This window comes from Homo sapiens, chromosome 4 (assembly GCF_000001405.40).
Source record: "Homo sapiens chromosome 4, GRCh38.p14 Primary Assembly".
Lineage (NCBI taxonomy): Eukaryota > Metazoa > Chordata > Mammalia > Primates > Hominidae > Homo > Homo sapiens.
This window is the reverse complement of record NC_000004.12, coordinates 159,146,677-159,159,306: the sequence shown is the minus strand read 5'-3', so window position 1 is coordinate 159,159,306 and position 12,630 is coordinate 159,146,677. Positions and strand designations below refer to the sequence as shown.

The window sequence follows — 12,630 nt, the reverse complement described above, 5'->3', positions numbered from 1 at the left end:
TGATGTCCAACCATATTTGCCTAACAGTGGAATCTGAGGGTACAACTTGTTGTTTGTAAAATGGAAGGAGGGTGATGCAAAATAAACAGCTGCGTGATCCAGGAAAGGGGCTGAGGGAGACACTGTGGACGGGCGCTGCAAACCACAGAGGTGGCAGAGGAAAACAACTGAGGGAAGTATTTTGGCATCAGACCCAGTCGAAATCCTAACTTTGCTACTTATTGCTGTAAGATTCTGGGACAGTTACTTAAATATCTCTAAGCTTTCATTTCACCATATAAAAATTAAGGATCATACCTACACTTTATAGTGTTGCCGTTAAGACCAAATAAAGTGAGATTATAAAACACTTAAACGCTAGCCCTTATACAGCTACGGCTATTGTTTCAATTTTAAAGAAAAGGGGGATTAGCCAGTCTCCAAAAAACCCAAATAAGAGTGAAACTTGAGTAAGGGCCTCTAGCGAGGTTGTCAATGATAATTTCTGGTTCCTTCAGGTTCCAAGGTCCAACCTGGCAAATAACGCTAGTAAAATTTCACCCTTCTCAGTTGATTCAATTAATATTGAGCAAATTGCATAAATTAAAAAGACTTGGTTTTGTGTGCCAACATACTCTGGATGCTCTCCTGAATAGGTGACTATAGTCATCTCTGAACTTTTTTTTTGTTTGCGACCACCAAGGGTTGCTACTGGTAATTACCTACTTCTCCCTGCCCACAAAGAGAATATTTACACAAAATGTTCAATAAAGGAACTCTGTAAAGGAAAGGTGTTAGCTATTTAAAAGCAGAGAGATTTGGGTAGGAAATTTTTTAATGACCTCTGATAACCTTACAAGTGCTCTCAACAAAGATGGTTTAGGTACTGCCTGTTGGGAGACTGGAGATTAACTAGATAATCTTAAAGTCCTTTTAGACTCAAGACACAAAAAGGAGAGCCAAAGGAAAGGGATATGTCTTCCTTTGCTTTTTGTTCAACTACAATCTACATTTACACCTAAGTAATAATGCTTTCCCACATAAGGAGAACAATGAAAGATAAAGGATCACTGATCTGCATGCAGTTCCTGGAATTTATTGCTGGTTGGGGAGTGAAGTTGAAGGAAATTAAGAGGACTATTGCCTCTTTTTACTTTTGGCAAAAATACAATGCAGGCCCTCTTAAGAATAAAAATCATTAAAACCTTCTAGTTAATATTTATCTCCTTTAAGAAGAAAATATTATAAACTTCTACTATAACTCTGAAATGTCAAATAAAACAAGTATTTTAAACAACCAAAATTAGAAGTACACCCCCAGGCACCATCTGCTAGCCCCACCATAGACATTTACTACACCTGGCTGCTGCCTGTCTCGGTCCCTACCCCAATTCCTCAAAACCCAGCTTCCCTACCTCAACCTTCATGCCACTGCCACTGCCATAGGAAGAAAGGAAAATGAGTGGAATAACTTCAAATACTCAAAGAACTGTCCTAAAAGAAGGACCATTCCTTTCTTAAACCATGACATTCTAGCAGCAGAGATATGTTGGGAGTGTTTTTCAAGGTCCAAATGAGAAAACGGACATTATGATTAACAAGGAAAACCATGGCAATAGAAAGCTGTTGTCTCATAAGGTTTCCCCTTCCCCCTGAAGAACGGACTTGGTGAAGAATTCCTTTAGACAGATACGAAGATTACAGATACCAAGTGCAACAAAACTTCTGGTCCTGTAAAACATGTTCTTTTAAAAAGCCATTCTTATCCATTTTGGCTAACAGACATAGTCAGTTAAGTCAAAGGTCTGACTCCGAAACCCTAGAAACCACTTTAAAAGAGTATGGGTTTATGATTCCCAAACTATAAAGAACACAATAAGCACATAATTTGGGAGTATTAGCAATAATAGATAAAAACAGTAATGCCCCTCCTCTCCCACTTGCTTAGCAGTAGCCCTGTTAGTTGGCTTTTTTTCTTTTTTTTCAATCACCACTGAACGGTACACCCTAGGCCAGCATTTTTACTGCTATCACACAGCAGTTTCATTCAGACATACTCAGCTATAACCACCTAAGATCCTTTCAAGGGGCAAAGCTGCAGTCCTAACTTCATGGTTAATGGAGTCTGGCATATGTTTATTGACATTTATAGGTCATGAAGTGTTATGTGAAGAAGGTGCAATTGGGCAGTATCTTTTCTTCAGCTTGAATGGACAGACAATGCAAGAATCCTGACCAGCCAAATAAAGTGAAAGGCCAATGAACCAGCTAAGTGGGAGAAAATGGTTCCTAAATTGAGCACTGGAGTCACTGAGCTTCTTAAATAATACATATTCCTGAGCCCCTCTTTAGCTGTAAATTGGGTAGATACTGTACTGGGTAAATGTCTAGGTTATTTTAAACAATACAATATAAACACTCTGCAAATGGTTGTTATACTATATTTCTTGTTTGTATTGTTTATTGTTGCATTGTTATTTTTGGGTTTGGGGGTTTTTCTTAATATTTCCCATCCATCGTTAGTTGGACGCTGCACCTGCAGATATCGAGACCAACTGCAACAACTATCACAAGGACAGAAAACCAAACACCGCAGGTTCTCACTCATAGGTGGGAATTGAACAATGAGATCACTTGGATACAGGGCGGGGAACATCACACACTGGGGCCTGTCCATGTGGGTGGTTGGGAGCTGGGGGAGGGATAGCATTAGGAGAAATACCTAATGTAAATGATGAGTTGATCAGTGCAGCAAACCAAAATGGGCACATGTATACCTATGTATCAAACCTGCACATTGTGCACATGTACCCTAGAACTTAAAGTATAATTTTTTTTAAATGCAAAAAAAAAGTTCCTCAGGCTAAAAAAAAAATTACATACAAATCATAATTTATAGAAAAGAATTCAGAAAGTAGATATAACACATAGGGATTAAACAGAGATTCTTTTCTTTTTTTAGTTGTGTTATAAAAATTGTTCAAAGAAAATTAGTAACAATATATTCAGAAGTTAACAACACGCAGCAGTAAAATATATAAAACAATTTCAAGTGCTGTGGGATGTTAAGTAGAATGACACTTTCAAAAGATTTTTCATTTCTATTGAGAAACTGAGTCCTGCCAACAGCCAGCTTGGAAGTGGATCCTTCCTCAATCAAGCCTTCATATAAAACTGTAGCCCCAGCCAGAGGATGATTACAGATTTGTAAAAGAACCTGAAGCACTGGAATCTGCTAAGCCATCCTTAGTTCCCTGACCTACAGAAATTGAGACATAACAAGTACACAGTGTTTTAAGCCTAAGTTTTACAGTAACTTTTATAAGGGAATAAGTAGCTCATATATCTAGAAAAATCTTCAAATATTTGGAAACTTGGCAATAAGTTTTTGATAACCTATGAATCAAAGTAAAAGTTATAATAGAAATAAGCAAATATTTAGAACTCAACACTAACTAAAACATATCAAAATTTGTGAGATGTAATTAAAATAGTACCGAGAGGAAATTTTATAGCTATAAGTGTTATATTAAAAATAAATGTTTAAAAAAAAAAAAAGAGTGCATTGTGAGGCATAAGGGATGCATTTACTAATTAAATGGCAGAGGTCTGCCAATAGACAAAAGTGCTGTTTTATTCCTTGAGAAAGACCAAAGTCACACTTAAGAATTACCACGTCTTCTGTAATACTGCTCAAACTAAATTCCAGGAATTTCTACTCTCCTAAATACAGAGTCAATTCAGGTGTGGAACAATAAAATAATGCTCAGTACTGGTCCCACTAGAGAAACATCTGATAACATCTTACATGTTCCCCTACCTGGAAACTTCTTACAAAGAAACTCATCATCTCCTTTCCATTAACTGTATTTCTTCTCAAGACAGAATTCTATTACTGAACATTCCCACCTTTGTTTAAGGCCAAAGGGAAGGAGAAATGCCTGAAGAATCAATTTTCTAATCCTCTGAAATCTTGTCAAAACAAGGACGAGGAAATGTGCAAAAGGTGGCTGTCAATCAAAACGGAAAATTAAAACCACTCAGCGGGAATTTCATATTGGCTTTAAATGCTGTGTTTGCCAACTTTTTCTCACCTACGTATCCTTTCAAAATTCAAAAAAATCTCATTGTCTCCTCACTATAGTTTAAGGTTGTTCCTTGTCCCTAATTTGAGAATCACAGGAAACATACTAGCTGACAGTTTCACTGTGTTAATCTCTGGGGAGATTTACACTATATTTTGGAATATATTATGGAAGTTATAGGATGTTCTGAATTCGAAATATCAAATTTTTATAATACTGCTTCACATCTGAAAATCATCACTTTAATAAACATGTAAGCTACTTAAAAAGTGGTTCATACTATATACTTATAATAGGTTATACAACTGATTGGCTCTCTAAGCAAACAATCATATCTATGGTACACGGATTATCCTCATACCCATTTCTAACAAAAGAGAATATTTGTCTTCGCCCACTTGGCCTAATATAGAATTCATAAGAAGCAGTATAGTAACACGGGAAGGGATCTGACTGAGATCCAGAATCAAATCCTATCTGAGAACCTGAGCAAGTCACCAATTCCCTCTATGTCTCTGATTCAAGAGATCTCTTGATTCTAAAATCTCCATAGTCAATCACAAATTCAGCCTGCTACCTATCCCCAGAAGCAGATTATTTTACAAATTATCAGCACAATAACATAGCTAAACATCAATCACTAACCATTTGATCTTAAATGCTAAATATAGTCACTGGTTTCTGGATGTAATCTCAATTTGTTTTTTGGTGGTTGTTTTTTTTAAAAAAAAAAAAAAGGTGATGTGAGTGGAAGGAGAGAAAAACATAAGAATGTGTTTGTAATCTGAGTTCAGTAATACCGAGTATGCATTCTCCAAATATAGTACACAAAGACTTTATGAGTGAAGGGATTTCAATAGATGTAAACACAACCAGTAAGAGATAGGCAATAAATAATATGTGCTGAGAAAGAAGGATCCACTATTACTGTCCTTTCTACATCTGATCGACCTAGTAAGTTTTCTTGCCATTTCACCAACATACTGAATTCTACTTGCTTCTCTAGTTGAACAACCTTCTAGTTAGCTAAGAAAATTCTTTCCTTTGGACTGCTAGGTGATAATGTATCATTTACTTAAAATTACATTGCCAAATATTAATGGTTATAGAATCATAAAATGCTAGAGCTAGAAAAGACCTTAGAAAGCATCTATTCAACCCTAATTTTATAAGGAAACCAAAGCCTAAAGAAGTTAATCAACTTGCAAAATGTCAGATTCCGTATCTAACCACTCAGTTTATCATTGCAAAGATGGACTGAGAGATAGAAATGTTTAAAAATTAAAACACGGGCCCTTCTTTTGTTTACTCAAGTACTAATTGAACATCGACTGTATACCATGCTAAGCAATGAGGCTTGTATATGTCCTTTTAATGCAAGGTTAGCTAATTCTGTTTTATTTAAAACATCCTGTACTTGCAAATTTGCAGAGTACCCGTCTCTGAACAGCCTACAAGAATTCTACAAATAACTTTCAAGGAGGGGATATTTTCTCAAAGAAACAGCAAAGATTCAATTTCAGGAAAATGTTGGGGGGCAACTGGAGGAAGCAAGAAGGAGACACTACATATACCTGGGAAAATCTAATCACTCCTGTATTAGACCTTAGAAAGTCAGTGATAGGTCAGTTAAAAGGATTAGGATAAGAGACTCTCACAGTGTTCAGTTTTATTTCCAAATTATTAAAACTACCAAGACGGACCTCTAAAAGTCATTCTAAATTCACCAATTTTAATAATGATTTTGGATCCCCAAAGTAGACATTAATTTGATTAATAAGTCTGAGTCTCATTTTTCTTTTCCACAGAGTGAGGAACTGTAACAGTGGTTCTCACACTTCACTGTACTTTACAATCTCCTGTGGAAGCTTTTTTAAAAGTCTGGTGCCCAGGCCACACTCCAAATCGATTAAATCAGAATCCCTCTCAGGTGGGGGGTGGGTGGTGAACCCCAGCAAGATTTCTTTTTAAAGTTCCCCAGATGTTTCAATGTACAGTCAAGGGAACCACTAAATCAGGCAATCTCTTGCATCTAATCCAGTTCCAAAATTCTACATCAAAATCAACTCAAGTCCACTGCACCAGAGAATTTTCATGCTAGTGAAGGCTACTAGTGTAATGAAGTTGTTTGATAAAGGCAAATAAAAGATTATTGAAATAATATAGTAACTGACCAATATAAAAAAGTGTATAAACAATCCAAGTGAAAGTCATATAGCAAGTATTTAAACACTTACTAACTAGATATAAGACAGCAACACCTAAAACCATTAGCTAAAATAGAAGACCATTTCAGCTAAGAACACTTTTAAAATATATAACACTTAGGCCAGGCACGGTGGCTCACGCCTGTAATCCCAGCACTTTGGGAGGCCGAGGGCGGATCATGAGGTCAGGAGATCGAGACCATCCTGGCTAACACGGTGAAACCCCGTCTCTACTAAAAATACAAAAAAAATTAGCCAGGCGTGGTGGTGGGCACCTGTACTCCCAGCTACTCAGGAGGCTGAGGCAGGAGAATGGCGTGAACCTGGGTGGCAGAGCTTGCAGTGAGCCGAGATTGTGCCTCTGCACCCCAGCCTGGGTGACAGAGCGAGATTCCATCTAAAAAAACCAAAAAAACAAAAAAAAGTTTTTAACAGGGGAAACTCAGTAGGGGATATTACAAGAACTTTCTAGACCATCTCCGCAATTTTTCTGTAATCTAAAATTATTCCACAATAAAGTATTCTTGAAAAAACCATAGCCACATGGACATACCAATTTTAAAAATATTTTCTCACAGCTAAAAATAAAACAATGCAAAAGAATTTCATAGATTCAGGAATGGGCATTCTGCCTCTGAGTCCAGATTTAAGTTTTAGAATGATTTACAGACTAGAGAAGAAACATTCATTCTTTTCTTTCTTTCTTATTTTTTTTTAGACAGAGTCTCGCTCTGTCACCCATCCTAGAGTGCAGTGGTGTGATCCTGGCTCACTTGCAGACTCTGCCTCCCACACACAGGTGATTCTCCCACCCCAGCCTCCAAACAGCAGGACTACAGGCGTGCAACACTATGCCTGGCTAAATTTTGTATTTTTTGTAGAGACGAGGTTTTGCCATGTTGCCCAGGCTGGTCTCGAACTCCTGAGCTCAAGCAGTATGCCTGCCTCAGCCTCACCAAAGGCCAGAATTATAGGTGTGAACCATCACATCTGGCCCATTTATTATTTAAATAGTACAAAACCTTACTTTCTACTTTCTCCTTGTCCATATTCAGTGATCAAGACACACTTATTCTTGCTCCTCAACAGCTCCTTCCCACTGCCAATCAAGCATCTGGTTAAAGGCCCTTGTCCCTCTAGATGAAGAAGTACCTGTCTCCTACCAATGCCCTTTTCTCATTCCATCAATGTCGCCCAACTGTTTATTCCTAAGATGCAAAGCTTTAAAGTTTACACCCTACTTTAAACAGACACCCCCCAACACAAATACACACAAACACACACTTACACAAAAAGCCACAAAGTAATCACTGATACTGGCCTTTACATACCTCTCACTACACCTTCCCCAAGCACCCTACTCTCTAACAAATTTATTTCCTGAAGCCCACCACAACTTTGCTTTTTGTTTTTTAATATTTTGCATCCTGTATCAGACTGTCATCTTCTAAAAGCCAAGGAATAGCACATTTTATTTATTCCGATTCATTGTCCACAGACCAGCACAGGACTTTATGCAGAACAGGCCCTTAATACGGTATTTTTAAAAATTTTCTCAAGAACCCAAGTTTCCACATAAAATCAACTTGACAATCTCAAAAACAAACAAATAAACAACCTATTTAATAATCAGCTAACAAGCACTGCTCAAAATTGGGTCATTTGACTGCATTCAATTCATGTTTTCAGTTTCATACCAACTCAGCTGACCTGCACCAAACTGACCTGGACTCCTGAGATAAGCGTTTATCATTGACTGCAGCTGTGAGCAACTATGAGCCCACATGGGAACAAAAAAGCCAAACAGCTGTATGGTATAACTTAAAGTACTTTAAACAGTTGAACCTGCATCTACACTGACTTGTTGCATATGGTAAAATCTAACTTTGAAACCAACATTTACACTCTCTATCATAAATTACACTAATACTTGAAGTATAGGAAATAGGAAAGTACAATATAAGTCTCCGATTTGTCCAAGAATTTTGGGCACAATCAGCAAAATTTCTATAGCCAAGCCCTAGCTCTACTCACTCCTCCAATCCCATTACTTGGTCACCCTCTATTCTCTCGCTTGCTGGATCAGCAGCAACCTACACATACTTCACACTGAAGCTGGAGAGAGAACAGCAGCAAAGCAGAGAAGGAGGGCAGTCAGGGGAACACGAGCTGAGTTACCTGAAACCTCAGCTTCTAGGTCATCACCTGATTCCAAAACAATCCAAATACTGCTGGATCCTCATTATTCAAGGATTCCGTATTCGTGAATTTGCCTACTTGCTAAAATTTATTTGTAACTCGAACAGTCAATACTCCTGGACTTCCATGGTCATTCAAGGGACATGCACAGAGCACCAAAAAATGTTTGTCCAACAAACACATTTCCAGCTGGGGCTGAGCAAGTGGCCCTCTGCCTTCCTGTTTCAATTCTTATACAGTAAACAAGTTTCTCTTCATGGTACATTAGGTCTCAGGTTTTTCCCATTCTTGTGTGTTCTCTGGTGATTCCACTGTTTAAAATGGCCTCCAAACAAAATGCTGAAGTGCTGTCTTGTGTTCCCTAAGCACAAGAAGCCTGTGATGTGCCTTACAGAGAAAATATGTGTGTTCGATACACTTCGTTCAAGCATGAGTTATAGTGCTCCTGGCCAGGAGTTTAATGTTGATGAATCAACCGTATATATTCAATAAGCTATTTTTAAACAAAAGCACACATAATATGGGGTTATGTATTAATTAGCTGATGAAAATGTGACCAGAAGTTTGCAGGAACTTAACCCCGTATTTCCTAGAAGCAATGGTTCATTATTCGCTAATTCAGTGGTCATGGTGACTTTATAGTATATAACTACCACAAATAACAAAATTAACTATTTTGTTTATATACTGTTATATACTGTTATATATTATAGTATATAACTACCACAAATAACAAAATTAATTGATACTGCTAATAACAATATAAATTACTACTACTTGGTGAACCTTCTACTGGGATTTGCGAAGTCTAGAGCAAGAAAAACAGAACATTCTAAGTAAAACAACTTAGATTACAGGGCTAATTTTCTAGATCCAACCTCCACCTGTGCCTGTTTTTAGACCAGTGTTAGTGCCACAACATTTTATAAAGTTTTGAAATTACATTTTCAACATCACATCTGTTTATGATAGCAATTTTGTCTCCTAAGAACTTCTGATTATAGCTGCACTAAAACAAACAATGGGTAAAACTACCCAATACCAAGCAATTTCACTCTATAAGATGCTTACCAGACTGGACAGTCTCAATTACTTAATGCAGTTTTTGAGCACTCACAGTACTATACACACAGAAATAACCTATTTAGGGAAATACATACTCAAAATAATTCTCTGGTTCTTTTTCATTGTTTACAAAAGAACAGTCTCTTATTTTAAAAAAGGGAGTGAGGAGGATGAGGGAGAGGAGATGAAGAGGAAGAAGAAAAACTAAAACTTTAGGCCAGGCGCGGTGGCTCACACCTGTAATCCCAGCACTTTGGGAGGTCAAATTGGGTGGATCACGAGGTCAGGAGTTCAAGACCAGCCTGGCCAAGATGCTGAAACCCTGTCTCCACTAAAAATACAAAAATTAGCCGGGTGTGGTGGCAGGCACCTGTAATCCCAGCTACTTGGGTGGCTGAGGCAGAGAATTGCTTGAAGCCAGAGGCAGAGGTTGCAATGAGCCAAGATCACGCCACTGCACTCCAGCCTGGGCAAGAGGGCAAGACTCTCTCTCAAAAAAGCAAACAAACAAATAAACAAAAAAACTAAAACTTTAAATCTGTGTCCACAAAAAGCAATAGTTTTAAGTGCCAGTTTTATTGTTTATTCAATGAATAAATATTTCAGCTTTATCTTCTGCCCTCTTTCTGTATTTTTATTTAGAACAGTATTTCCCAGAATGTGTTTCATGACAGCTATGCAAAAGGGTGGCTTAGTCAAGTCAATTGATTTTGGGAAACATATATCCTACCCTCTTCCAGCCTTAGAGAGGCAAGATGCAGATTAGAAAATCAAGGGCTCAAAAAATGCTTGCAGTAAACAATAAACTTGTTTAATCCAAGTTTAATTTGGACCCCAAAAATAATTTGTTCACAACATCCTTTTTCCAATAAACAAAGTAACTAACATTTATAAAATATCAAAATTTAAGAAAATAGACTACAAAAAGAAATTACATAAAACAAATATGTTCATAAGAACTAGGTTTAGTTTTGTTTCTTCTAGACCTGTTCTTGACAGTTGCACCAGAATGCAACCAATAAGCAGATAAACGTACACTGTACTATTCAGAAAATGTAATATGAAATCTGGATTCACTTGCAAACTCAATGCTTAAGTACACTCAATCCCAAGAGTGGTTTCCAAGAAAGCCATGAAAAAAAACACAGTGAAAATCCATTTTAAATAGAAGAGTTGGCATTCAATAGGAGTAGTTAAACATGGACCACCATATGTGTTAAGATGCTTCAAAGGATTTAAAGGCAAAACGGAAATAAAATCAGGAAAAATTATTGGAAACATTATATTCAACTCCCCAAATTAGTAAATAATCTGATAGTTTGACTTTCTCTTTATTAAGGAATCATAACACTTTCTGATTCAAAATATAAGAAATAATTTTTAAAACTTTCCTAAAAACAAATATAAGAAACTGGCATTTACAATTTTCAACATCTACTCTCTAGTTATTGAAACCTTGCCTAACTGTCTATACTTTAAAGATAAAGACTGGCACTCAGGGTCAATAAAACTTACTATTTCTTTATGAATACTATTAACTGTAAATGTGGTTGAAGGGCTGTTTTTCAACATCAGATGAGTGATTCTCTAGACTTTGCAATTCAGTAAGCAACAGTAATAATTTTTGATATAGATCTAATATACTAGATGTTAATATAACATCAAATCTATCTTTGCTCTCTTTAACCTAAAAACAAAACAGTTCTTAGCTTTAAAAAAGTTCATAAAATATGTCTATTGTTGAAAATTTTAAATATGAATAGGACAAAATAAGAAATTTTAGATTATCTGCAATCTCTTCAGCCAGAAATAAGATTTTTTAAAACATTTGTGAGGGCCATTTATTAGGCACATGTGCCAGGCATTGCCAAAAACTCTTTCTTTGCTTTTCATCCGATTTAATCCTTTCAACTACCTGTAAATCTGTAAAGGAATCTCTTCAAAGAAAACTTAAGGCACTGAGAGATTAGGTATCTTGACTAAAGTCACACACCTAGTAAGGAGAAAGCAACAATTGGAATCTTTCTGTGGAGATGATTTCTACTCACATGTATATGAATGCATGAGTGTAATTTTTAATGAATATTCAACTACAGTATGCATTCTGTTTTGTAATCAGCTTTCATCACTGACATCTAACCATAAATATCTTCAGGAGCAACTAAAAAATAATCTTTTATTCCAAATTCTTGATTTGCTCTATCAAGCTATTCATTATAAATATTTAATATCTTGCTATTTTTTCTACAACTTTAAGCAATGCTGCAATATACCTCTGCCACTTGATATTGTATGACCTTGGGTAGTCAGCTAACCTGTCTCCTCAAAGCCCTAGGAAAACTGGGTATTACTCTCTTTTTTCTACGAACTTTTCCAGTTTAATAAACCAAAAAAAAAAAGGTATTTTTGTGCAAAACTGCATGTTTAGTTTCTAGTGAAAATCATTTTTCATACACTTCAAACCATTTCTTTTTCTTTTCGTATATTCCTGTCCCTTTATTCATTATATTAACATGTTTGCTTTTTTGAGTTGTAAAAATTCTTTGTGTTTTTTAAAGATAGTACCATTTATGCTGCAAATAATTTTATCCAATAATGTTTAGTCATTAATGTTTAGTTTCAGATAAAAAGAAAAGACTGGTTAATAGAACGGTAAAGTGGAAAATAAAAAAGAGGCCTGGTGCTGTGGCCCATGCCTGTAATCCCAGAACTTTGGGAGGCCAGTGGGGAGGAAACGCTTGATGCCAGGAGCTCAAAACCAGCCAGGGCAACAAAGTGAAACCAATCCATCTCTACAAAAAATAAGAGCAAAAGAGAATGTATAGGTTAATGTTGTCAATGGTGACTCTTTTTTTAAACCTTTATTTTGGAAGTACAGAAAGGCTGCAAAGATATTACAGACAGTATGAGGTCTTTCCTTCCTTGAATCAGGTTGTACCAATGTTTTCACATTAAAAATTATGAAAGCTGGGGAGAAATGACTAGATACCAAAGAAAAGCTGGGAGGGAAGAAACCTAAGTCAGCCCCACAATAGGCAGTGAAGCATCACAGGTAATAGCTTTAGTTCTGGTGCCAGGTAACCTGGATTCAAATC

The 12,630-nt window shown here is 36.6% G+C and overlaps 1 protein-coding gene across 2 annotated transcripts in view, besides 1 other annotated feature; it reads right to left on the bottom strand.

Moving 5' to 3' along the window:
* The window catches only part of RAPGEF2 (Rap guanine nucleotide exchange factor 2), a 257,095-nt gene that overhangs the window by 200,867 nt on the left and 43,598 nt on the right, over window positions 1-12,630 (bottom strand). The window lies entirely within an intron of this gene.
* Window positions 8,256-8,550: a silencer, noted in NCBI's record as "tiled region #8742; K562 Repressive non-DNase unmatched - State 1:Tss". NCBI's record gives its function as "represses a minimal TATA promoter and a strong SV40 promoter by Sharpr-MPRA in K562 cells {active_cell/tissue: K562}" and the evidence as "EXISTENCE:reporter gene assay evidence [ECO:0000049][PMID:27701403]".